Source organism: Homo sapiens, chromosome 9 (genome assembly GCF_000001405.40).
Source record: "Homo sapiens chromosome 9, GRCh38.p14 Primary Assembly".
In the NCBI taxonomy this organism is placed as follows: domain Eukaryota; kingdom Metazoa; phylum Chordata; class Mammalia; order Primates; family Hominidae; genus Homo; species Homo sapiens.
The window spans coordinates 132,833,755-132,860,259 of NC_000009.12; the positions used below are offsets into that span (position 1 = coordinate 132,833,755).

At 50.0% G+C, this 26,505-nt stretch overlaps 1 protein-coding gene and 1 non-coding gene across 14 annotated transcripts in view, besides 5 other annotated features; one reads left to right on the top strand and one right to left on the bottom strand.

Moving 5' to 3' along the window:
• AK8 (adenylate kinase 8) overlaps positions 1–26,505 on the bottom strand; it is a 153,469-nt gene that overhangs the window by 108,177 nt on the left and 18,787 nt on the right. For 10 of the 13 annotated variants that reach the window (NM_001371771.1, NM_001371772.1, XM_011518278.3 and 7 more), the window contains one exon: positions 21,103–21,171. In NM_001371771.1, coding sequence (NP_001358700.1) covers positions 21,103–21,171 — 69 coding nt within the window. Of the gene's footprint in view, positions 1–18,162; positions 18,255–21,102; positions 21,172–26,505 lie in introns of all 13 variants that reach the window. The other 3 variants (NM_001371773.1, NM_001317958.2, NM_001371774.1) reach the window with 1 other exon arrangement.
• Positions 2,014–2,176: a silencer, noted in NCBI's record as "fragment chr9:135711155-135711317 (GRCh37/hg19 assembly coordinates)". NCBI's record gives its function as "represses an EF-1alpha promoter that drives an FKBP-Casp9 reporter gene in an ReSE screen in K562 erythroleukemia cells {active_cell/tissue: K562}" and the evidence as "EXISTENCE:reporter gene assay evidence [ECO:0000049][PMID:32094911]".
• On the top strand, positions 20,064–20,171 carry LOC124902335 (U6 spliceosomal RNA). Its single transcript, XR_007061910.1, has one exon. It is a non-coding gene; the product is annotated as a U6 spliceosomal RNA (small nuclear RNA).
• Positions 20,760–20,951: a silencer, noted in NCBI's record as "fragment chr9:135729901-135730092 (GRCh37/hg19 assembly coordinates)". NCBI's record gives its function as "represses an EF-1alpha promoter that drives an FKBP-Casp9 reporter gene in an ReSE screen in K562 erythroleukemia cells {active_cell/tissue: K562}" and the evidence as "EXISTENCE:reporter gene assay evidence [ECO:0000049][PMID:32094911]".
• Positions 22,008–22,509: an enhancer, noted in NCBI's record as "H3K4me1 hESC enhancer chr9:135731149-135731650 (GRCh37/hg19 assembly coordinates)". NCBI's record gives its function as "activates a minimal SCP1, AML or CMV promoter by ChIP-STARR-seq in naive H9 embryonic stem cells {active_cell/tissue: H9 hESC(naive)}" and the evidence as "EXISTENCE:reporter gene assay evidence [ECO:0000049][PMID:30033119]".
• Positions 22,510–23,009: an enhancer, noted in NCBI's record as "H3K4me1 hESC enhancer chr9:135731651-135732150 (GRCh37/hg19 assembly coordinates)". NCBI's record gives its function as "activates a minimal SCP1, AML or CMV promoter by ChIP-STARR-seq in naive H9 embryonic stem cells {active_cell/tissue: H9 hESC(naive)}" and the evidence as "EXISTENCE:reporter gene assay evidence [ECO:0000049][PMID:30033119]".
• Positions 23,432–24,205: an enhancer, noted in NCBI's record as "H3K4me1 hESC enhancer chr9:135732573-135733346 (GRCh37/hg19 assembly coordinates)". NCBI's record gives its function as "activates a minimal SCP1, AML or CMV promoter by ChIP-STARR-seq in naive and primed H9 embryonic stem cells {active_cell/tissue: H9 hESC(naive and primed)}" and the evidence as "EXISTENCE:reporter gene assay evidence [ECO:0000049][PMID:30033119]".

A 26,505-nucleotide genomic window follows, 5' to 3' on the forward strand; every position in this document is an offset into this window, starting at 1 on the left:
GGGGAACTTGGCGAGGCCCAGCAGAGCACGGCCTGATGCGGCACGAGCCGTCCGGCTTTGTGCGAACACTGGCCTCTTTTGCCCTCCTGACTATTATTAAAGCGCAATTAGCAACTTCACATGGGAAGGCTCTGTTGCCCTCTGGGCCTCTGCCTTTTTGATGCGTTGCCTTTCCGCTCCTCCCCTCTCCTCCCAGGACCAGAGCGTGGGGCTCCCTGGGTGTTTTCCCCAGTCCTGCCTCTGATCTGGCTCGCAGCTCCGACTGCAGACTCCACCGGAGGCATTCCCTGGAGCTGCATGCTCAATCTCTGCAGTCCCAACGAGGCAAGCTGAGGCTGAAGACTTGGACTCGATAAATCAGTTTCGCTCAGTTCCAAGTCTGAACCAGGGCAAGCCTCACAAGAGGCACTGCAGGCTGAACGCGGCCTAATGTGGTTTCCCAACATAGAGGAGAGAGATTCTGTCAGCCAGGAAGGAAATGCATCTTAAAAGATCCAGTTTGGGACAGTGATATGTTCTAAAGCCAATCGGTGAGAACAATGAGACTACCTTGATGAACATAAAAAAATCTGACATCACACTGTCCCAGGAGCAGTTACTTTGGTTTATACAAAAACATAAAAACCTTAGCCTGCCACAGAACCCTAGGATGCCGTCCATATTCAACTCACCTGAAAGATGACTAGCAAGAATTTTTATCTCAAAGTTGAATCCCAAACAATATGCAACCCCTGTTAGCACTGAACGTGGAATGCACTGAACACGGAACGTTAGTATTCCACATTCCACATGTATGACTGTAGCAGGAACCCGTTACCCCTTAACTTGCTCTGATTCCTCCACCTGATCAAGGTGAGGTGTGCCCAGGGCTTTGCCTGACCTTTTTCTGGGCAGCCTAACAGTGATTATGCTCTTACAACGCCGAAATATGCAGGAGTGATTTTTCTAAACAGAGTTGAATTCCACCCTTGATAATCAATGATACATGCGTGGTATTTTTATACAAACGTGCAGATGCGGGGATATCATTACTCCTAGATGTGCAGCCTACAGGCCAATGATCTCTAGGATATGAAAACCTGGTAAAGCCCAAATGCAGGCATTCAAGAGGTGCCTTTTTTTTTTTTTTTGAGACAGAGTCCCACTCTGTCGCCCAGACTGCTGGAGTGCAACGGCATGATCTCGGCTCACTGCGACCTTCTCCTCCCGGGTTCAAGTGATTCTCCTGCCTCAGCCTCCCAAGTAGCTGGGACTACAGGCGCATGCCACTACGCCCAGCTAATGTTTTATATTTTTTAGTAGAGACGGGGTTTCCCCGTGTTAGCCAGGATGGTCTTGATCTCCTGACCTCATGATCCACCCGCCTTAGCTGCCCAAAGTGCTGGGATTACAGGCATGAGCCACTGCGCCCGGCTTCAAGAGGGTTTTTATTAGTTCCTAAATAGTTAAAAAAAATTTAAATTCCTATCAAGTATCTATGGTGCCCCTGAAGCCACTCCATGGAAGAAGACACAGTTTGAAGAACAAATTGTTCTGTCCCCAGATGCACCAGTCTACCCTAGCTCTGAGGTTGGCCCCAAGATAGCCCCCTGCAGAGATAACTCACTTTGGAGGTTCACATTTAGTTCTCCAAGTCAGACATAATGTGCTTTAGATGAAAGTAACAGACACGGATAACCCAGCATCCAGGGCCCATTCCCCTCAAACACTTTAGACCATGTCTGTGGTGTAGACCCACCTGTCTAGAAACAAGATTAGCCCTGGAAAGTATCAGTTTCTTGTAACGGCGGAAAGCAGTGGCTTTGGAACCAGATGACCTGTGCCACAGCCAATGTGTGACTTTCAACCAGTCACTTCATCCCCTCTGGCCTCATTCTCCTCTGCACAATGTGAATAATCAAAATCTAGCTCACGGTTGATGAAATAATTAAATGAGGATTATAAACAAACAGACCAGGCACCGTGGCTCATGCCCATAATCCTAGCACTTTAGGAGGCCAAGGTGGGAGGATTGCTTGAGGCCAGGAGTTCTAGACCAGCCTGGACAACACAGCGAGACCCCGCTTCTACAAAAAAATAAAAAATTAGGCCAGGCGCAGTGGCTCACGCCTGTAATCCCAGCACTTTGGGAGGCCGAGGTGGGTGGATCACCTGAGGTTGAGAGTTCGAGACCAGCCTGATCAACATGGAGAAACCCCGTCTCTACTAAAAATACAAGATTAGCCAGACATGGTGGCGCATGCCTGTAATCCCAGCTACTCAGGAGGCTGAGGCAGGAGAATCGCTTGCACCTGGAAGGTGGAGGTTGCGGTGAGCTGAGATTGAGCCACTGCACTCTAGCCTGGGCAACAAGAGCAAAACTCCATCTCAAAAAAAAACAAAAAGTTAGCCAGGCATAGTGACATGCACCTGTAGTCCCAGCTTCTTGGGAGGCTGAGGTGGAAGGATCACTTGAGTCCGGGAGTTCGAGGCTGCAGGGAGCTATAATTGTGCCACTGCACTTCAGCCTGGGTGACAGAGTGGGACCCCATCTCTGAAAAAACAAATAACAAAACAAGTGTAGTGCCTGGCAACAAAGAAATGACCCAAAGTTAACTAGTTTTATCATTATAATTTTGAGAAAGGTGAACGATCTTCTTTTTCTCTACCTACTTCCAAGGAGTCCCACTTAAGTTTGTAGAACTTAATATTAAAAAAAATTGTTTAAAAAGGCAAATCTCTGGGAAACAGGAGCAACTGGCATTCCAGGTATGAACTGAGGGAAGATCTTTAATTAAGGAGGACTTGGGGTAGACACATTTCTCTTTTTTTGAAACTGGGGTCTTGCTATATTGCCCAGGCTGCTCTCAAACTTCTGGCCTCGAGTCATCCTCCTGCCTTGGCCTCCCAAAGTGCTGGGATTACAGGTGCACCACCACGCCCAGCTGGGACAGACACATTTCAATTAGAATGCGGGGGTCTAGTGAGTTAACAGCTACTGTGGATTCACCCCAAGGTGGGCTCACGCCATTTGCCATCACTTGGCCAGCTGCCCTCTCTGAGGGGAGTTTGCCTGTCCTCTGGAAGCCCATGTGACTGTTTCCTTATCTGTATAACAGGAATGATGATAATAGTACCTACACTTCATAGCGTTTAGGGTTACAGGCAACGATGTACCTAAAGTGGTGGCACAACGTCTGGCAGATAGCAGGTGCTTAATAAATGTCTCCTGGCATACACAGGCTTTTCATAGTTGACAACTCATTTGAAAAACAGACCAAACTCAGCCTAAGAATGGGAGAACGGGCCAGGCGTGGTGGTTCACGCCTATAATCCCAGCACTTTGGGAGGCCAAGGTAGGCGGATCATGAGGTCAAGAGATCGAGACCATCCTGGCCAACGTGGTGAAACCCCATCTCTACTAAATATACAAAAATTATCTGGGCGTGGTGGCGGGCGCCTGTAATCCCAGCTACTCGGGAGACTGAGGCAGGAGAATCGCTTGAATCTTGGAGGCAGAGGTTGCAGTGAGCTGAGATTGCGCCACTGCACTCCAGCCTGGGTGACAGAGCAAGACTCCATCTCGAAAAAAAAAAAAAAAAAAAGAATGAAAGAATGAGGAGTTGGCCCCCTTCTGCTCTGCCCTTCTGCTGTGGGTGCCCTGCTAGCTCTCGGGAGCAGACGTGGCACCTCTGACTCTCTGCTCAGCCTGCGAAGAGAAGAGTGATGTGGTCAGTACTTCTGGGTCCAGTCCCGTTCCCATCATCTCCGTGCCTCTCAATACTCTCTCCTGCTCCAAGGTCTGCTTGCGTCTGCTCAAACCTCAGGCCCTGTCCTGCATTTGATCATCTCTTTTTCCTCTTCTACTGCAGTGAGAGGGATGATCTGAGGCATCACACATCCACAGAGCATATCGGAACACGCGTTCCTGTCCACATGGAGTGCTACGGCTCTGTATGCAGACACATGATCCACACGTGCCCTTAAGAAGCCCATATCACACCAACCAACCAACCACGCCTCAGCATCAGGGTCTCTTACAGAAACACCCACAAATAAGGGGGCACAGGAGGTGTGCTCACTGTGCTGTGCCCGGCACCTCACCAAGCCCTCAGAAGCCCTGCCTCGCCGTGATGCGGGCCATACGTTTCCTGAGTGGAACTCAGACCTCCACTTCCAATCCCCTGCAAAGCTAACTGCATCTGTATTTGAGGAACACACAGCCAGGGCCTCAGCAGAGCTGTGGATCAATAAAACCGCACTCCTTGGAGGAGGCAAGTGACATCTATAAACCCGTGAGTGTCAAAACAATGGCAAGAAAATCCTGTGTTCCTACTGTCAGTGGGATGAAAGTGGTGTAATTAATGCCAGCCCAATGACACCACAAGGAGAAATAAAACAAACAGCTGGTGGTTCTGTGGACCAGCATCTAGCTCCTCCACTCCGTTACTGTTTCCACTATAAAATACTGACTCATGTTATGGGCAGGGAAGCATAAATCTAAGACCAAAGAGGAGGAAAAAAGACTATAGAAACCCACCATGTAAATTCTAAACTTTTGGCTCCACAGTCAAAAGTGTGCTACGTCCGCTCCCCCTTTACAGTGAAAGAACCAAGTTTCCATGATATTACATGAGATCTAAGAGGAGTCAACCTGGGAACACAAAATAGAATTTTGCATTTCATGTTCAGTAAAGGAAACACCCCCGGCCAGTACAGTCACTTTTGGGGCTGGGGGCCTGACCTTGCTTCCCAAGTGCATCAGAGACCTGACTCCAGGGATCTGCGGACATGGTCAAGGTTCAGAATGGTCCAGGTGTTGCATCTGATGATGGCATTCTTACTGTAGCTCCAGGAGGAAGATTATGCAGAAGCAGACATTTTGAACCTGATGCATTTCTAGAAGGTCAGTTTTTCTTCTAGGTAATGTATTTATCCCTCCTTTGGGTCAGTGGGTGGGGCTCCTGTGCTACGGCCTCATCCGTAGAATGACAGCAGCTCTTAGAACCTGCCTGTTCCTGTCAGCCCTCTGTTCTGAGCCACCTAGAACATTTGCTGGTGCACAGCAGGTGCCCCAGAAGTCTTAGCTGTTGAAAACATCATAGGACAGTCATGCAGGTTCAATGGGAAAATGCATCACAGTGTGACGTGGTGTTCGGCACATATCAGGGGCCAGTAAATGCTAGCTGAGCATTCTGTGTACCTTATTATTTTTTTATTTTTTTGTTGAGACCGAGTCTCCAACTGTCGCCCAGATGGAGAGTGCAGTGGTGTGATCTCGGCTCATTGCAACTCTGCCTCCTGGGTTCAAGCGATTCTCCTGCCTCAGCCTCCTAAGTAGTTAGGATTACAGGCGCCCACCACCACACCTGGCTAATTTTTGTATTTTTACTAGAGATGAGGTTTCACCATGTTGGCCAGGCTGGTCTCGAACTCCTGACCTCAAAAGATCCACCCGCCTAGGCCTCCCACGGTGCTGGGATTACAGGCGTGAGCCACCACGCCCAGCTGATGTGTACCCTTATCTTGATGGACCAATTTTGCTCTTCACCAACTGTGTCTTGGCTTAGTTCTGGCCTTCATTTTCCTTCTTTCCTGTCTTTAATGTAACATGATCACAGGCTCAATGAGTCATGGGGCAAAGTAACACTCTTTTAACACACTGAAGCAGAGACCCGTTCATATTCCATTTAACTGATCATGGGTCCTGGTGGACAGGCTCTGTTTCCTTCCTATGCTTTTGATGGGAGAATAGGAAGACTTCTCGAAGAGGTGCTGGGGAATAAGAGGCGATGTCTAGAATGCATTAGCCAGGATGCAGATGGGGACAGCATCCCTCCGCAGGCTCCTGCTCAGCAGCACCGGGGAGGATGCAGCAGGCCTAGCTTTTGTTAGTCACAGTGTCGCTTTGACTCCGGCAGGGGCTCTGAGCCTCACAGTTAAGGAAGAAGAATGAGGAGACACTGTGAACAGAATGCAGATTGAGGAGGTACCTCCCACCAGTTGAGCACTGTCTTAGTCCGTTTTTGCGGCTTATGACAGAATACCTGAAACTGTGTAAATTGTAAAGAAAACATTTTTTTTGCCGGGGGGGGGGGCGCAGGGACGGAGCCTTGCTCTGTCACCCAGGCTAGAGTGCAGTGGCGCGATCTCGGCTCACCGCAACCTCTGCCTCCCGGGTTCAAGTGATTCTCTTGCCTCAGCCTCCTGAGTAGCTGGGACTACAGGCACCCGCCACCATGCCCACCTAATTTTTGTGTTTTTAGTAGAGACAGGGTTTCACCATGTTGCCCAGGCTGTTCTCGAACTCCTGACCTCAGGTGATCCACCCGCCTTGGCCTTCCACAGTGCTAGGATTACAGGTGTGAGCCACTGCGCCCGGCCCCAGTCACCTCTTAAAGGTAGTACTATGGCTCTCAATGCTGCCACATTGGAGATTAAAGTTCAACATGAGTTTTGGAGAGGACAAACATTCAAACCAAAGCAAGCATCAAGAAAGCAAATTCCTGCTGCAGTCACACTGAAGGTCCCTTCCCTCACAGCCCAGCTCCATCTCCAAAGGAGTGAACCGAGCATCTCACGTGCTTGGCTTCTTGCATTACGCTCGCGTTTGGCAACATTTTGAACCATTCCTAACCTCCAGAGTGGTGGGACTCAATCCCAAGTGGACACTCACACACACACACACACACACACACACACACACACACACACAAGGCAAGTGAACAGGCATGAGGAAGGCAGTCTGCAGCTGGCTCGGAAATTTCACTGATTTTTTTCCTCAGGCACTACACTGAAAAGACTGCTCACTCTCATTCATCCAGGTATGGGGATATAATAGAACTCACTTGAGTGGTGGTTTCAAAAGTGCACCACAGGCCAGGCACAGTGGCTCATGCCTGTAATCCCAGGAATCTGGGAGGCTGAGGCAGGTGGATCACCTGAAGTCAGGAGATCGAGACCAGCCTGGCTAACATGGTGAAATCCTGTCTCTACTAAAAATACAAAAATTAGTCAGTTGTGGTGGCACACGCCTGCAATCCCAGCTACTTGGGAGGCTGAGGTGGGAGAATCACTTGAACCCAGGAGGCGGAGGTTGCAGTGAGCCGAGATCGCGCCAAAAAAAAAGTACACCATGATGTTGCTGGTAGATCATAAACCCACCCAGAAAGTGTCCAGGACTGTTTTCTAACACAAAGCCCAGGTATGAAGAAGTAGCAGACTTCTACTCATAAGGGATCCTCAAATGGCCTTCACCCAAGTCATCCAGCATGTAAAAAGCATCAACTCTAAGTGGACCTCCGGGCTGGGCACAGTGCTAAGTGCTATGCTTGGATCGTCACATTTTAATCAGACAGTGAGACAGCTGTTACTTCAGAGCATGCGCCGCAGCACCTAAGGCCATGCTGCCTGCCTGTGAATTACAGGGCGCTCTACATAGAAAAGCACTGCAGCCCGAGCAGGCTGTCCACACCAGTCCCTGTCTGAGTGTCCCTCGCTGCTGTCTGCCAGCCCAGATATTCAAGGGTCAGCTCAGGTCAGCAGATGTGAACCCGAGCCACGTGTGGAGCCCATAAGAATCACATTCCCGGTGCGTGAAGGCCTCTGCCTTTTGATGAATAATAAAATTCTCCGCACATGACGAGCCGTCATAATTGGGCACAAGTCTTTCCTTTGCCCCCTGCAGCGGCGTGGGGGTAGCATCCATACATGAAAACATTTCTTTTTTTCTTTGCCAGATATTTTCCAGTCTGTGATATTCCAAATGTCTGGTGCTGGTGACATAAAAATGCCTTTGTCAGAAGGCCTGGCACAAACCTGCCGAGTCCAGCTGAAGCCTGACCTGCCAGTCAGGTAGCCAGGAGCCTCTGCGTGGTGGCCTGTAAAATGCCACACTGACCTGGCCTGTGGGACGTCAACCAAATTCCTTCCTCCATCTGGGCCTCAGTTTCCCTTTTCATAAGAGGTTTTTGTGGGATGATTTCTGTAGATGGCTTTTTAAAAGACATTGATAAGACAAACTGGGATTCATCCACCAGGTGTGATCACTTTTATGTTACACATTTATTTAATGCTTTAAAATCAAGCACCCTGGCGCTTGATTCTTGTTACAGTTGATTAGAGGAATAGAGGAGGAGGAGACAGAAAATCTCCTGGCATAGGAGATCAGATTGGAAGACTGGTTCTCAAAAACCTGAACCCGGGGTCCCAAGGGGGGACCTCCACCCTTAGGGTGCAGTGCTTGAACTTTCTCAAGGTGTAGGAGTCCAAGGCCAAATGGGAAACTTGAAAGCACTAATGATGGGAATAATTTTAGAATACAAGGAAGAAGTCGCTAAACAGATCCAAAATTCACAGAAAACAAAGCTAGCACACTGGCCAAAACAATCTCCCCAAAGAAGCCTGAAGACAAGTATGTTCCTAGTGTTGAAACCATTATTAGGGCATCCGGATGTGACTGGATAGGGCTGCTGGATTTTAAACACCTTTGCCTCCTTGGGCCATGTGCATGTTGGGATAAGATTTCACTGCCACGGTGGTACAGAACTGGGGAATTATCCAAATGGCATTGATTGATTCATTATTGACTGGTTCATTCATTCATTCATTCATTCATTCATTCTATAAATATTTACCCAGCATGGAGTCTCTGCCAGGTATCACATGAAAGATCTTGCATTCCTACTCCTAACTATGACAGTGCAGAGTTGGAGAGCAGAATGCTGTGAGCATGTGTAACAGGCAGGTCGGCCTCATCTGGGGCTGGGCAAGGCCAGGGGAGGCCTCCCTGAAGAAGTGACTTGAAGCTGAGGCTGAGGAATGAGAGCAGTTTTCTAGCTAAGGGGTGGGGTTAAGAGCACTGTGTATTCCTTTTCCACTGCTGCATAACAATCTTAGTGACTGTAGACAATACAGTTATTATCACATGGTTTTCAAGGAGTCTGAGCACAGCTCAGCTGGGTCCTCTGCTCAGTCTCAAAGGCTGCAGTCAAGGTGTTGACCAGGCTGTGTTCCCATCTGGAGGCTTGACTGAGGGAGAACCCTCTTCCCAGCTCATCTGGATTGTTGACAGAATCCATTTCCTTGCTGCCACATGACTGAGGGCTCCGGTTTCTCGCTTGCTAGGGGCTGGAGGCCCCTGCAGTTCCTAGAGACCAGCCATGTGGGCTTCTCCAACATAGCTGCATACTTCATCATGCCAGCAAGGAGGATCTCTCTCTGGTCTGCTAAGGCACATTCTTACATAACATAATGTAGCACAGGAGTGACATCCCCTCACCTTTGCCACATTCAGCTGGTCCTGCCCCCACTCAAGGGGAGGGGATTACATAGGCATGGACACAAGGGGGTGGGAAATCACTGAGAGTTGCTTAGTGATATAGTTTGGATATGTGTCCCCACCCAAATCTCACATTAAAATGTAATCCCCATTGCTAGAGGTGGAGCCTGGTGGGAGGTGTTTGGATCATGGGGGCGGGTCCCTCATGGTTTGGTGCTGTCTTCACAATAGTGAGTTTTCAAGAGATCTGGTTAAAAGTGTGTGGCGCCTCCCCCTCCCACTGTCTCTCTCTTGCTCCTGCTCTGGCCACATGATGTGCCTGCTCCCCCTTCACCTTCTGCCGTGATGGTAAACTTCCTAAGGCCTTCCCAGAAGCAGAGCAGATGCCAGCACCATGCTTCTCTTATAGCCTGCGGAACCATGAGCCAATTAAACCTCATTTCTTTATAAATTACTCAGTCTCAGGTATTTCTTTATGCATTGCAAGAATGGCCTAATGCAATTAGGGTCTGGCAGCTGCCCACAAAGGCCTGAGCAGGGTGGGTGCAGGTTGACCTGGAGAAAGGTGGCGGGTACTGAGTGGGTAGATGAGAGAAGTCCAGGGATGAAGCTGAACCGCAGGCAGGCCCAGGACACACAGGGCTCCTGGAAGCAGTGGAGGGTCACAACCACATTTATTTTAAAATAACAAATGTTTCTCTATGTTTAAAGTCATCCTCAGAAGGGTGCACTTTCAAGAAAGTGTGAACATCAGTTGCCTCCAGGGAAGGAAGCTGGGTGGCTAAGGAACAGGAGTGAGGGGGGACTTTGGTGCCTTTGGAACCATAGGAATGAATATATCATGGTAATGAAATAAATTCATTCATTCTTTAAAAAGCCATCCTTCCAGCAGCAATGTGAAGAAAGAGTTGGGAAGAAACCAGGGTAGCTGTGGGGAGATGGATCAGGTTCCAAATAAAGGAAAGGGATTCTTAGCAATTTAAATAAAATGGAGCACAAATGGTGACTATGGTCAAGGTAAAATTTAGAATCTCTTTGGTACTGAGCCTTTCCCCCCAAGTTTCCAGAACTTACTGTCTTATGTCTTGGCTTTTCTTTGCCCTACAGGGGTAGTCTGAGGATTCGGGCACATTCTCTTGATTGTCCCTAACAATGGCTAATGGGTATCCAACAGGTAGAGCCAACTCCTTTTGATCGTTCCAATACAGAGTGCTAATTTTTCTTTCTCTAATGCATTTGATGGTCACTTCAAAAAAAAATTCTTCAAAGAGACTGCATTAGACCAAAAAAAAAAAAAAAAAAAGAAAAAAGAAAAAGAAACGACCCCCCTGCATTAACTACAGAATCCTGATGGGTTATGATTGCGTTATTTTTCCCTGAACACTATTCCCTGCATTCTTTCTGTGCTCTAAATTACCAATTCTAGTCCCTGTGTAGCTAAATAATAATAATTACCATATAAATGAATATGCATATGTGTCATTTTTCTCCCTAAAAGCAAGAAAGCCTGTTTATTTTGGATGAGGGTTTGTTTTGTTTTTGAACAACCAAAGCACATAATTAGAAGTCTAACCTCTTACTCTTGAAATCCTGTCTCCAGCGGGAAGAGATGAAAAGGCAATGGATGCCCCTTAAAGGTTAGAAGAAAGTTTAAAACAAATTGAAGGAGATATTTCTTTACTCTGCAGGTAACAACAGCGTGGACATGATCAGAATCACAGAACTATAAGACTAGAAGGGATTTCCATGCTCAAGACTAGAAGGGATTTCCATGCTCAAGTCCAACCCCATGGTTTTATAGATGGAAAAACTGAGGCCTAAGGAAGTGAAGCTCTCACCAGAGTAACACGCTCTGTGCCTTCCTGAGATGCAACCTTTGAAACAAGAACAGTGGCCAATAGTACAACACTGTGTTTGCATCTCAGTTCTGGGATTTAATTGTGGGATCTTCAGCAAGATACACAACCTCTTCAAGGCCTGGATTCTGCATCTGTGAAATAGGGTAGACAGCAGTGCCACCTCCGCAAGGTTGCTGTAAGGACTCCACAGCACACGGTCCTGCTGCCAATGCTACACTCCCAATCAAGGGGAGTCACCCAGAATGTAATTACAGCCTCTTGCATAGTGCAAGGTGCACCTGCAATGTCATGTAGCAGATAACATGCCAGACCAGGCGCGTAGACTACAGCTACCACCATCATCAAAATAATCATAATAATAACACACATTATAAATACTCAGTCAATATATTATTTATAATACAATGTAATCACATATAGTGTAATGTAACTAATAACGATGTCAATTATAATTGAGATTTTAATTTCTAACAATAGACTTCATCATCATTTTTATGATGGTGACTTGGGATGCATGGTCCTGTACTCTGTCCACACTGCAGGTGCACTATGCAAAGAGGTTATGCAGACCAAGCTTTTAAATAAGCTCAGGAAGAATTCACAGAAGTTAAATGCATATTTGAAAGACTATTCTAGGCCGGGTGCAGTGGCTCATGCCTGTAATCCCAGCACTTTGGGAGGCCCAGGCGAGGGGATCACTTGGAAGTCAGGAGTTTGAGACCAGCCTGGCCCACATGGTCTCTACTAAAAATATAAAAATTAGCCGGGCATGGTGGCATGTGCCTGTAATCCCAGCTACTCAGGAGGCTGAGGCAGGAGAATCGCCTGAACCTAGGAGGCGGAGGTTGCAGTGAGCAGAGATCGCGCCACTGCACTCCAGCCTGGGCAAGAACGAAACTCCATCTCAAAAAAAAAAAAAAAAAATGACTATTCTAGATCACTGAGGGCATGTTTGGGATATCCAGCTGCAAACACAGAGAGAATCACCATATTTTCCCCAGAAACTATCACTCAGTGAGGTAGAAATTTTTTAAAAATCACGGAAACAAATCTGTCCAGGCAGCTGGATCCTGTGTGAAAACTGTGCAGCCTTGTTAGATTCTGGAGTGGGGAAAGAAGGGCAGTGCGGCTTCAAGGGCGTGTATATAGCCAGTGGGACACACAGACGATCACTGGCAGCCCACCCTGAGGCCCTGCATCTCTGGATTCTAGATTTCCACCTAGAATCCAGAATGCTTACCCACCAGAAACATTTTCATTGGAATGCTGTAACTTGTAAAAATTACTTACACGAAATAGTACTGTTTCAAATGTTTTGAGGTTGGAAAGGAGAGAGACTTTGAGGGTTGCTCAGTGGTATCCAGACACCCACCCTGGGCCTTCTGCAATGGATGTGTGGGGTGGATGGGGCAGAGGGGCCCACAGATGCCTTGGCCCCATGCCAAGCCTCTCTTCCAGCTATGAAGTTCAGATCTGCCTCTAACTGACGTGACTCCTTTGCTTATTTATCTGGTTTATTGTCTGTCTCTCCATGACTAGAACTTCTGTTCCTTGAGAGCAAGACGTTTAACTCTCTTGTTCACTGCTTTGGTCCCTGTGCTTAGCAAAGTGATTTGTTGCATGAGAGAATAGATGAATGAATGAATGAATGAATGAATGAATGAATGAATGAATGAATGAGTACTTTTAGGAAACACTGACTGGGGAGCCGGGTAGGCCAACAAACCATGACAAGGCTTTTGGTCACGACTCTAGTGGAGGAACATATCAGGTGGCATGGGGACACGTTGGGGGCCTGTGAATGGCACAAAACACGACAGGGAGTAGATAGGCTTTGCCCAGCCTTTGAGCTTCTGTCCTGGGCTGCATAGCACAGCCCTGGAGCCCCTGGGTCAGAGCGCTGGCCCTGTGCACCATGTGCCTGGTCTACCCTGGCCAGCCCTGCCGCTTCCCCCGGTGTGGCTCTGGGCGTGCCTCAGGCCCTGCAGCTACAACATGGGCACAATAATAGTAACACTGGCCATGTAGGGTCCCGTGAAGCTGGAGAAGCTGCTGGGCGTAGTGCCTGATGCCAGGCTCAGACGCATGCTCCATTCAGGTCTCTGGCTTCTCCCGGGCCGAGATAGAGAGCTGGAGCAGAGGCTCTGGGCCTGCCTGCTCTCCTGCCTGCCTGGATCCCAGAGACTTCTGCCTTCCAGTGGTCAGCAGGCCAGCTCCCGGCTTCTGCTGCACTAAGGCAGCTGGTTGAAGCAAACACTCTTGACCAGGAGAGCGGGCCGGGGGAAGAGCGGCCCAGACACAGCAGTTCCTGCTCAAGTTCCTGGGTCACAGGTGGTTTGGGGATCATAGCATCTTCAAAGGAAATCTGAAAAGGGAAAGGCAGGTCTTCTACCACCAGGCGTGGGGAAGTCCTGCTGCCTTTGCTGACTAAGACAGACCGTGGCGCCATCTCCACCGGGCCTTTCGTTTGGCAGGGGCAGTGATGGTGGCTCATGAGTATGCCACATTTTTTAGGTGCGTGTTATTCCTGAGGATATGAACTACATAGTTTCTCCCTTCCTGTGTGCTTAGAACGAATGCTCATCACACTGACAGTCCTGGTTCCAGGAACTCTTGGCATATTGAATTTGAAACACTGCCTGATGGGCAAGACCATATCCAGCTGTGCTTTCACAGACAGCCCCCACCCCTGCTGAGGGGGTCCAGTCCTGGGCAACTAAGGTACAATTAAGCCAAAGGAGTACCACCCCCCTATATTTGACCAAATTTGATGAGTAGCTATCATGATGAAAAAGAGAAAACAGCTTAGCTTTAAAGATCAAAGAGAGCCAGGCATGGTGGCTCATGCCTATAACCCCAGCACTTCGGGAGGCCAAGACATGTGGATCACTTAAGCACAGGAGTTTGAGACCAGCCTGGGCAACATGGTGAGACCTTGTCTCTACAAAAAATACAAAAATTAGCCGGGCATGGTGGTGCGCGCCTGTGATCCCAGCTACTCAGGAAGCTGAGCAGGAGGATCGTTTCAGCCCAGTTTAAGATCAGCCTGGGCAACATTGGGAGACCACGACTCTACAAACAATAAAAATGAAAAACAGATGGGCATGGTGGCATGTGCCTGTAGTCCCAGCTACTCAGGAAGCGGAGGTGGGAGGATTGCTTGAGCCCAGGAGGTTGGGGCTGCAGCGAGCCATGACCGTGCCATTGCACTCCGGCCTGGGCAACAGAGCAACACCCTGTTTCAAAAAAAAAAAAAAAAAAAAAAAAAAAAGATTGAAGAGAAGAAAGGAAGACTCCCTTGAATGCTTCCAGCCTGGTGATCTGCTATGCAAGAGTCTAATCCAACTTGGCAAATGCATAAGAAATAATGGATAATGGATTAAGGCACACAGCATTTTGTATGGGAAAATGCTGGCCCATTTCCAGTCACTCGGGCCATCTTTCCCTCCCCTTTAATGCTCTGCCAAAAGATTGTTTGGCACTTCCTAGGTAAAAGAGGTGGGAAACCTTAAAAATAGTGACCGACTGATGGGTCAGTTTTAGGAAAAGTTCCCGTGAGGTTGGTTTGACACTCTGAGTTAAGAGTGTGAAATTGGGGTAAAGGACTGGGTTTTCTGGTTCCTGCCTCACTTCTGGCTGCCATTCCCTCCAGCCTAAGACGGCCCCTCCACAGTCCACTCCAGTCCCCTTCACTAGAGGCTTCAGGAATCACTTGACTCTCCCGCCCTGGTTTTTCCATCACAACCCTTCTCACCATCTGCCTTGCCTTGGTCATGTTTGACTCTGCCTTCAACTGCAGATGGTGAGCCCAAGGCAGGCAAGACCATCTTGCTAGAAGTGGGGGGTGCTGAGGAGGAAGGTCTCGGGTGTGGGGAAGGGTCCTGGTAGTGAAAACCATGCAGGGCCTGCAGGGGGCACTCAACTGGAGATGCAGAATCAAGTCGCCGAGCTTGGAAGTCAGGTGACTGGGAGGGAACTTAGTTAAAATGAAAGTCTATGGGGAAGCTGGCCTTTCTTCTAACACTCCTGTTTGCTTTTTTTTTTTTTTTTTTTTGACACGGAGTCTCACTCTGTCGCCCAGGCTGGAGTGCAGTGGCGTGATCTCGGCTCACTGCAACCTCTGCCTCTTGGGTTCAAGCGATTCTCCTACCTCAGCCTCCTGAGTAGCTGGGACTACAGGCGCGTGCCACCACGCCCGGCTAATTTTTTGTATTTTTAGTAGAGACGAGGTTTCACCATGTTAGCCAGGATGGTCTCAATCTTTGGATCTCATGATCCGCCTGTCTCAGCCTCCCAAAGTGCTGGGATTACAGGTGTGAGCCACTACGCCCAGCCGGAAGTTTGCTTTTTATTGAGAGCTCAAGAGAAAGGGCAGAAATGTTTTCATGATCAATGTGAAAGTGTTACTTAGAACAGGGGTTGGCAAGCTACAGCCCGCGGGCCAAATCTGGCCTGCTGCCTGCTTCTAAGATAAAAGTCTTTCTAGAGCACAGCCGTGCCCTTTTGTGTCTGTGTTGTGTACGGCTGCCTTTGTATTACATCAGAGCTGAGTCGTTGTGACAGAAGCCATATAGCCTGCAAAGCCTCAACGAGTGTCTCTCCATCCTTTTCAGAAAACATGTGTCCACCCCCGATTTAGAATAGCCTCTGGGCTCTGGATATCTGCCCACACCTGGGCAGAAGACCATCCACTCACAGTGAACAATTTGAGACAATTCAGATGTAAACACACTGTTCAGAGCCAGTGTTGCAGCCCGGCCGGCAGGGTGTTTGTGATGGAGATCCCATGGCTGAGGGCCATGCAGAACAAGCTCGTGAGAACTGCTACTCCCTCGCCAGCATGCTGGAAAGATTCCTGCTTCAGGTTTGGGGCTTCCCAATCAATATATTTTTGAGACAGGGTCTTGCTCTGTCACTCAGGCTGGAGTGCCGTGGTGCGTGTCGGCTCACTGCAACCTCCTCCTCCAGGTTCAAGCGATTCTCCTGCCTCAGCCTCCCGAGTAGCTGCGATTACAGGTGCACGCCACCATGCCCAGCAAATTTTTTGTATGTTTAGTAGAGACAGGGTTTCACCATGTTGGCCAGGCTGGTCTTGAACTCCTGGACTTAAGTGATCTTCCTGCCTCAGCCTCCCAAAGTGCTGGGATTACAGGCATTAGCCACTGCATTCAACCCTAGTACATTTTTTTTTTTTTTTTTGAGACAGGGTCTCACTCTGTCACCCAGGCTGGAGTGCAGTGGCGTGATGTCGGCTCACTGCAACTTCCACCTCCTGGGTTCAAGCCATTCCCCTGCCTCAGCCTACCGAGTAGCTGGGATTACAGGCACCCACCACCATGCCCAGCTAATTTTTTTTTTTTTTTTTGAGACAGAGTCTTGCTCTGTAGCCCAGGCTGGAGTGCAATGGCATGTGTACGGCTGCCTTTGTATTACATCAGAGCTGAGTCGTTGCGATAGAAGCCTCCTGCCTCAGCCTCCCAAAGTGCTGGGATTACAGGCGTGAGCCACTGCATTCAACCCTAATACTTTTTTTTTTTTTTTTGAGACAGGGTCTCACTCTGTCACCCAGGCTGGAGTGCAGTGGCGTGATGTTGGCTCACTGCAACCTCTGCCTACTGGGTTCAAGTGATTGTCCCTGCCTCAGCCTCCCAAGTAGCTGGGATTACAGGCACCCACCACCATGCCCAGCTAATTTTTATATTTTTAGTAAAGACAGGGTTTTGCCATGTTGGCCAGGCTGGTCTCGAAATCCTGACCTCAGGTGATCCGCCCGCCTCGCCTTCCCAAAATACTGGGATTACAGGCGTGGGCCACCACGCCCGGCCAATTTTTTGTATTTTTAGTAGAGACGGGGTTTTGCCATGTTGGCCAGGCTAGTCTAGAACTCCTGGACTCAAGCAATCCTCCTGCCTTGGCCTCCCAAAGTGCTGGGATTACAGGTGTGAGCCACCATGCCCAGCCTGGCCCTAATACATTTTCAAGTGAGAGACAGATGGAGAAAGAGAGAGAATCTGTAGGTGCATTTAAAAAAAAAAAAAAAAAAGACACAAGTTCTGATTCTGGGAGACAGGAAATGTGCGCCACCCGCCTTGTCAACCCCACTGAAAGTAGCTGTAATACATTCATAAAACACACAGGGCAGCTATTCGAGGACTCAGAAAGTTACCCAGTAGTAGGCAAGTTGGGGGAAAAGACTAGAATCCAAAATACCACCAAACCAGTATCTCCTGGCCTGGCCTTAAGGCAACCTGAAGGCTGAAAGTGGGAAGCAGATGGGAGAAGAGCGAGCTAGGAGGGGAGATACCTCTGTGGGGTTTTTCTTTTCTCTGTTTTCTCACACTCCTGCCTCCAGGCAGTCCTGCGGTGACTGTGGTGGCACTGCTGTGTCAAAGGGGCCTGCAGGTGCCTGAAACACTGAAAGAGGGGACCCTTCTCCAGTCCCAAGAGAACAGGGCAAAGCCCTGTCAATCCTTCCTTTCTCTGTCCTCCCACCACTTGACCCTGGTCATGGGTGCAGTCCCAGGAAGTGAGTGGCAGAGCAGGATAAATAACCTCAGTTTTCTGGCCAAAATACCAAAAAGAGGAGCACCAGGGAACTAGGAGTTATCAGGAGATGACAGAGAGGGGAGCTCAGGGAAGTAACTAAACACAGTGTTTGATGAGATCAAAGGCTCACCCCCAAGCTGTGCACGTGTGGGCCTGACCCTAAACGGCATTTCAGAGACACTGAGACATGAACTGTGGCCAGCTCACTGCCAAGTCCCCAGGTGCCCCTGGGTGATGTGCACATAGCACAGAGCTGCATGGTCGGTCACTGCACGGCACTGCAAAGTTGCTGAACACAGGACTGACATGGAAACCACACTCTGAGAAGCCTGGCTGGAACATGCAACCTGAACCCAACTGAATCAGTCATCTGCTAAGACAAAAATAATGACATTTGCCATAGGATTTAAACAAGACCCAGAGCCTCATAACAATATTTAAAATGTCCAGGATACAAAATTACTTAGCGCAGGGAGAACCAGGAACATCTCTACTCACATGAGAGCAGATACAGATGTCACCACCACGTAACTCAGATACTGGAATTAGCGGATGAAAACTCGAAAGCGGCTATTACAAGAAACTTCCAACTGGTAAAAACACAGAAAGATACAGTCTCAGCAAAGACACAGAAGGCAGAAAGAACCGATGCGATAAAAAACTCACAGGACAAGCTCAATAGTGGAATAAAAAAACAAGGGAAGATTCAGTGACCCTGACAATAGTTCAATACAAATTATCACATGTGACTGATAGAGAGTAAAAACAATAGGGGCCAGGCATGGTGGCTCACGCCTGTAATCTCAGCACTTTGGGAGGCCAAGGCGGGAGGATTACTTGAAGTCAGGAATTCCAGTCCAGCCTGGCCAACATGGTGAAACCCTGACTCTATTAAAAATACAAAAATTGGGCCGGGCGCGGTGGCTCATGCTAGTAATCCCGGCACTTTGGAAGGTCGAGGCGGGTGGATCATGAGGTCAGGAGATTGAGACCATCCTGGCTAACACAGTGAAACCTCGTCTCTACTAAAAAATACAAAAAATTAGCCGGGTGTGGTGGCACGTGCCTGTAATCCCAGCTACTCGGGAGGATGAGGCAGGAGAATAGCTTGAACCTGGGAAGCGGAGGTTGCAGTGAGCTGAGATCGCACCACTGCACTCCAGCCTGGGTGACAGAGCAAGACTCCATCTCAAAAAAAAAAAAAAATTAGGCACGGTGGTGTATGCCTGTAACTCCAGCTAATGGGGAGGCTGAGGCATGTGAATTGCTTGAACTTGGGAGGCAGAGGTTGCAGTGAGCCGAGATCATGCCACTGCACTCTGGCCTGGGCAACAGAGTGAGATTAGGTCTCAAAAAAAAAAAAAAAAAAAAAAAAAAGAAAGAAAGAAAAAATGATAAGAAAAAAAAAGACTGGAGCCTCAGGGACCTGTGGGACAACAGCAAAAGGGTGAATGCTTTGTGTTATTGGAGTTGCAGAAGGAGAGGAGAGAGAGTAGGGTGCAGGAAGTTACGTGAAGAAATAAAGGCTAAAAACTTTGCAAGTTTGGAGGAAAATACAAACCTATAAATTCAGGAGCTCAGCAAACACCAAAAAGAATAAGCCCAAAGAAATTCATCCCAGACATGTCATAATTATACTAGTGAAACCTAAAAATAGGCCGGGCACGGTAGCTCACACCTGTAATCCCAGCACTTTGGGAGGCCAAGGCGGGTGGATCACCCGAGGTCAGGAGTTCAAGATCAGCCTGGCCAACAAGGGGGAAACCCTATCTCTACTAAAAATACAAAAATAAGCCAGGCATGGTGACGCATGCCTGTAATCCCAGCTACTCAGGAGGCTGAGGCAGGAGAATCGCTCAAACCTGGGAGGTGGAGGTTGCAGTGAGCCGAGATTATGCCGCTGCACTCCTACCTGGGCGACAGAATGAGACTCCGCCTCAAAAAAAAAAAAAAAGAAAAGAAAAGGAAAAAAGAAAACTAAAAACAAAGAAAAAATCTTGAAAGTAGTCAGAGAAAAAAATGATGCATTATTTATAAAAGAATTTGAATGACTGTGGATTTTTCATAGAAACCACAGTGGTCAGAAGTAAGTGGAGGCTGGGTGTGGCGGCTCATGCCTGTAATCTCAACACATTGGGAGGCCAAGGCAGGAGGACTGCTTGAGACCAGAAGTTGGAGACCAGCCTGAGAAATAGAGGGAGATCCAGTCTACAAAAAATTAGCTGGGCATGGTGGCACACACCTGCAGTTCCAGCTACTGGGGAGGTTGAGGCGAGAGGATCTCTTGAGCCCAGAAGGTCAAGGTTGCAGTGAGCAGTGATCGCCACTGCACTCCAGCCTGGGCAACAGAGCAAGACTCTGCCTCAAAAAAAAAAAAAAAAAAAAAAAAAGTAAACAGAGTGCTAGCTTTGGCAAGCGCATATACTAAAATTAGAACAATACAGAGAATATTAGCATGGCCCCTTAAAAATTACAAAAAAAGAAAAAACTGTAAGTGAAACATTTGTAAAATGCTGAAAGAAAAAAACTGTTAACCTAGGATTCTAAATTCAGAAAAAAATATAGGAGCCTAGGAGTTTGATAACCAGCCTGGGCAACATAGTGAAACTCTATCTCTACAAAAAGTACAAAAATTAGCTGGGTGTGGTGATGCATGCCTGTAGTCCCAGCTACTCAGGAGGCTGAGACAGGAGGATCACTTGAGCCTGGGAAGTTGAGGCTAAGTGAGCTGTGATCATGCCACTGGGGTCCAGCCTCGGTGACAGAGCAAGACCCTGTCTCAAACGTATATATACACATACATACATATATACATAAAATAAAATAAAAAGAGAAAAGTAATGACATGACCCAATAGGGTTCCTGTGAGGACACATGAATCGGTGTGCAAAGCCCTCCTGTGGCACCCATCAGTGCCCAGTAGACAGGTGCTATGCTGCTGTCCTCCTGAGCCCTCCCCTGCCCTCTCCACCCTCCTTGTGCCCCAGGAGGCCGGCCTCAGTGGACTGCTCACCTGGACTCCTGCCCTTTGACTTCACTGGGTCTGGCAGGAGATCAAAGGATAGGAGGCGAGAGTCTGGGGTACCCCTAATTCTGCCTCCTGCCGATGCCAGTCCCTGGCGCCTCACCATCACTTGTCGGTTGCCTTACCCTCCCATGCTTCTGCGATTGTCCTGTCATTAAATGCTTTCCTGTGACCCCTCTGGATGGGCCAGCTATTTCCTACGGGAACCCTGACCGATACAACGAATTCCACACTGTTCCTTTTCCTTTGACAAAAGCAAAATCCATGTCTGTAGACTGACCTTCACGGAGTTCCCGTTTGCCTGCCTTACCTTCTCTTATGCCTCTGGTCATCTCTGGTCTTGGAGATGAACACACGCCCTTCACCCTCCCCTTTATCTTGGCACTGAAACCCCTAGCTCACTGGAGTCTTACCTGCTTGATGCAATCCTCTTCAGCCAGGCGTTCCTGAATCAGCTGGACGAGCAGCGCGCTGGGAACTGTCTGAAGGAAAAAGGACACACAGAATGATGGCCCAAACCTGCTTCCTGCAGCTCAGGACACAGACCAGCACACACCCTTCACCAACGCCCTGGCCTCTGGAAAGCACCGACCACCATCGGGCCCCGCCCTTCCTCCACCCGCTGCACCCTTTCCTTGAACTCTCTTCTCCCCCCAGCATCTTTGAGGGCCTCCCTCACACATGTACTCACCTTATCCTGTGCCCAAGCCCCAACATGCCCTCGCCCACCTCCACCTGAATAACTCCAGGGCTCCCTCAGAGCCTCAGCCCCAAGTGCCAGCCTGCAGGAAGCCCTGCCGGATCCTCCCAGGCCAGGCTGGTGCTACTTCCCGTGCTCCATCATCCTGGATGGAGAACTCTGTCACTGCACTAACCACCGCACACGCTAATGGACTGCCCACGTGGCTGTGTCCCCAGGAAGTTGTAAAGCTCTTCAAGGAAAGGGACAGTGTCCTACTGACTCTGGACTCCAGACAGTGGCGGGTGGGAGGGGATTGGCTCCAAGACTCAGCAGAGGCGAGTGTGTCCATCTCTTCCCAAGTCCACAGTCAGTGACCTCATGTTGGTAACAAAATTGGCCACGGTGGGAGTGTCTACACCACAGAAATGATAAAGGCTACAATAAGGACTCCCCACCCTGCCCCCAGTGCTGGTTGTTGAATATTGACCAGCAGACCAAATGGTATCAAGGATATAGGAAGCCCTGTCGACCATAATGAAACTTCAAATTCCTTGATGCATTCAACAAGCAGCAATCATGACGGCTAGCATTTGTTGAGCACGTGCTATGTGCCAGGCACTGGGCCAAGCATTCCATTCTTTGCTTTTTGTAACAACTCTGTGCCATCTACACTCCACTTACAGTAACACGGGCCCCCAAAGAGGAATCCCAAAGAGGAGTCGCCCTCTTGCCCCCTTCTGCCTGTATGGTCTGGGTGTGCTCAACTCTATCCTCAGATCCAGAGGAGGGCCCTGACTGGTCTAAGCCAATCCGCATACCCCACTCCTGACCACTGTGATTGATTCAGAGTGTTGGCCCTTTTCATAGAGGAGGAAGCTGAGCCTGGGAGAGGTGAAGCTGCTTCCCCAGGGTACTCCGCACTCTCCCTTCTCTGCAAAGGACTGGGGAGGAAGCAACTCTTCTCAGGGGAGTCGCTGAGGCCTGGCCTGTGCCTTTCCTTGTAGTGCACAACAGGGGCTAAAAATCTCCTCTACACCCACCCACATTTCTGAAAAAGGACATGGGAAGTAGAAATACATTCCAATCAGAAAGTTCCTTGCTGGGGGCGGGGGCCTCCTGGCACAGCCTTTCTTATGCAGAGCAGAGACTCGGACTTGGCATCAGGGCTCACCTCCCACCTCTGCCCAGGGCAGGCTCTCTGCTCCTGGCGGCTGCGATACAGCCAGCTGGGCGACCCTGGGCAAAGCCTTGACCTCTTTAGGCCTCACACACCTAACCAGTAGAAATCAGTAATGAGACTGCAAATGTGGCTTTTATTTTAATTTTCCATACACTCCACTTACAGTAACATGGGCTCCCAAAGTTCCTTTGAGGAGTCACCCTCCTGCCCTTCTGCCTGTATGGTCTGGGTGCGCTCAAGTCCATCCTCAGATCCAGAGGAGGGCCCTGACTTGTCCAAGCCAATCTGCACACCCCACTCCCAGCCACTGTGATTGATTCAGAGGCTGCCTGGGACCCAGTCCCAGCTAGTGAAAGTCAGGCCCAGGACATCAGTGCAATCATTAGGGGCATGAACCCCTGCTTTCCACCAGCTCAGAAGCTGAGAAAATGTAAGAGCGGGAGCTGCGGCAGCCACTTCGTGGGCATGACGGGTGTGGAACGGAATGAAACCAGCACAAAGGGAAAGAGAGAAACCAGACCCAGCTGCAGAATGGCTTTTCCAGGGATGGGGAATGGGAAGAAAAAGGGGAGATAGCGAGAGAACGAGGGAGGGGGCACCTCTGCTGGGAACTGGATGAATATGTTCACTTTAAAGTTATGGGGTCACCATGTTTCTACGAGGTAGACAGCCAAAGTCAAGATCGAGAGCAAGAGGGAGAGACAGAATGAATGAATGAATGGATGGTGCACAGAGGAAAAAGGAGACCAGAGAGGCAAGAAGGAGGCGAGCCAGCATCCAGTCCCTGGCTCCAACATCTGCTGAGATAGCCCTGTATCCTTATCCTACCGCCCCCTTCCCCCACCTTTCTTCCCTAAGCCAGTGGTTCTCAATTTGATTGTGCAACAGAATGCTGGCAGAGCTTCTGGAAACACAAACTGCTGGGCCCCAGCCTGGGAGCTCTGATTCAGTAGCTCTGGGACAGAGCTGAGAATGTGCATTTCTAGCAAGTTTTCAAGGGACGCGGACGCTGCTGGTCAGGGCATCACACCTGGAGAACCACTGGCATAAGCCCACCTACACAGGGCCCCCGGGGTCTGGGGGAAGCTGCTAGAGAGGGAGGGTGTCTTTCCGCCAGTGCCCGTTTCCCTCAGGTCTCCAGGGGAGCTTCCCCAGGCTGGCAAGGGAAGGGGTGGACAGGAAGCAGCCCTGTCCCTTCCCTCTGCATCCCCCCTCCGTCTCATCCTCTCCCCTCCCATCCCCTTTCATCCTTTCCCAGCCCCTCAGGTCCTCTCCTGACCCCAGGCACAGCCAATTTCCATTCTGGGGCTGTTTTTCCCAGATTCCTCTGCCCTCCCTGACAACACCCATTCAGGAGGCAGTGTTCAAACAGGTACAGGATGCAGAGAAGGGTGCCAACCAGGACGCAGGGGGTGCCAGCCAGTCAAAGAGCACCGGCTGAAAGGCGGACAGCCCCGGTGGGGCACAGCACCCCCTGCAGCCTGCACAGCAGGGGACAGGCCTGCGGCTTTGAGCGCAGCTACTCCTGAGCGCCCCCCGCTGCTCCCCGCCACTGTGCTGTCTCCACGCCAGCTTTGATGTGTCACGTCAGCAGCAGGGCTTTCAGAGGCCGCTTCTAGAAGCCCTGCCAAACTGTCTTAGCAGGAATCAGCCTCCCTCCTTGCAGAGCACTGTGATGCTCTCCCACCCCAGCCCCCAAAGTCTGGCATTTGGGGAGAATCAGGGAGAAGCTGACAGTGCAGTGAGGCCGCTCCTGGCCACAGAGAAGGCTCAGCCCCGACTCAGGCCCCTGGCCCCGGGTCTCCCTGCTCGGTGGCACCGCAGCACCCAGTTGCTCCCGTGCTGCTTCCGTGCACTTAAGGGCAGGACAGGCTGTGTTTGCTGCAATTTGGATTTTTCTCTCTTCCCCTCCAGCACCCAGTGCGGCTTTGGTGGGTTTCCCGGCCTGGGGGCAGACTCGCTGATCTCCTAGCCCTCCAAGGTGCCGCCCGCTGTTTTGCTGTTCTGAGGCAGCCAAGTGTGCAGGTGCCAACCCTGGCTCTGCCCCTGGGGCGTCACTTGACTTCTCCCCAGTGGGCTTTCTCACACTGGGATGGCATGAGCCTGCATCTTCCTGTCCCATCTCCAGGCCCCACTCTCAGGGATCCTAATGTCCCTGTGTCAACATGGTGAGTGATGCCTGCTCAGAAGTTGTGGGCATTTTGAGCTACAGTGTGATCTTGGGAAGTAGAGCAGGGAGGGGAACAGGTGAGATGCCCTGATCTGACCCCCACACCCCCCTTCTCCATAAAGGGGCTCCTCCTGGTAGACGAGGGAAACCCAGTAGTCGGACTTGAGCTCCCCTCAGAACTGACAGAACATCCTTTAGAGACAACTCCCATTCCAAAGTTACTGCTGCTCGGAGCTGTCAGAGCAGGTTAGGAGACAGCAGGAACTGCCTCCTAGAGTTTGGGAGGGGGAGACAGGAGGGTTGGGGGACCAGAGACAAGAGGAGGGAGGAGAGAGGAGAAGAGGCTTCAAAGGAAGAGAGCAGACCTCATAGCGTGGCACCCAGACAGGCGCACGGAAGGACGTGGCAGCAAGAGAAACCCTGGACTGGATGAAGGCCAGGAAATTTTCACAGGAGTGACGGAGCCTGGTGCTCCAGTTTCCCTGGGTAGAGCAGTCACCTCCTCTACCCCAAGCCTTCCAAAAAGGCCTGCTCGACGCCACTGCCTGGAGCTGTTGACTCAGGAAAGGGAGGGAGAGACTGAGGGCATTCCCACTGTGTCTCAGTTCAGCCTCAAGAAATGGGAGCAGCAAGGCCAGCTGGAGATGGAGTGGCCAGAAGTGAGGGAGACACCAGGCAGGACTGGGAAGCAACATCTGTGGGCTGTTTCCTAGAAATCCTCAGAACTACTTGGAGGGGACTATGTTTCTTGTGTGCAGACAGAGGTAGGATGAGGGCTCACGTTGTTTTTTTTCTTTGAGACAGGGTCTCACTCTGTCATCCAGGCTGGAGTGCAGTGGAACCATCATGGCTCACTGCAGCCTCCACCTCCCAGGCTCAGCCTCCCAGGCAGCAGGGACTACAGGCGCCCCCCACCATGCCCAGCTAATATTTTTTTCTTTTTTGTAGAGACAGAGAAAAAAAAGAAAGGTGGCGATCCTCCCGCCTCAGCCTCCCAAAGTGCTGGGATTACAGGTGTAAGCCACTGCACCCAGCCAGATTTTTTTTTTTAAACAGTAGAAATTGAAGGCTCATAAGTACAGGATCAGCACCTGAGAGTGGCTCCTCAGTGGCCTTCCCCCTCTCCCCCTTCTCCTCCCTTCTCCTCCCCTACCCTGTCCCCCTCCTTCCCCGTCTCCTCCCCCTCCTCGACCCGGGTCTTCCTCACCTGAGCCTTTTTGTGGTGTTTATGATGTTGAGTCAGACTGTGGGCTTAGAGACAGGGCCAGAGAAAGCAGATGAAGGAAAAAAGACTCGGCTGAAAAGATGAATTCAATTAACTTAATAAATGGGAAGAACGGGAGGCAAAGGTGGCCTCGGGCTGGGGTTCCAGGGGCAGCGTTTCAGGGGAACGGGCCTGTGGAGAAGGTGTTAGGGCCACTACTGTGGGAAGAAAAGGTGGGGGTTTCTGCAGTATTACTGGAAACCATGTCCCTTTCACGGTGTTCGGCGAGAGGACTGGGGCCATTTTGACATTCATTTCGATGGCTCTGACCATGTCCTTGGGTCCCTGATCCCCTCCAGGAAAAGCTGTGGGGTCAGCATCTAGACAAAATCACTCAGGGGAGCCAGTCGCCAGCCAATGACCTTGGCTGGTGTCCAGGGACAGCCAGCGTCTTCAGGGCATCAAACGTCTCTTCCAGCCCGGCCTGGACCCAGAAGCATCACATGTCCCTGATGGTCCAGTGAGGGAGGGGCCTGAGCAGGAGAGGGCCCAGGAGCCATAAGAACACCATCTCCTCGGC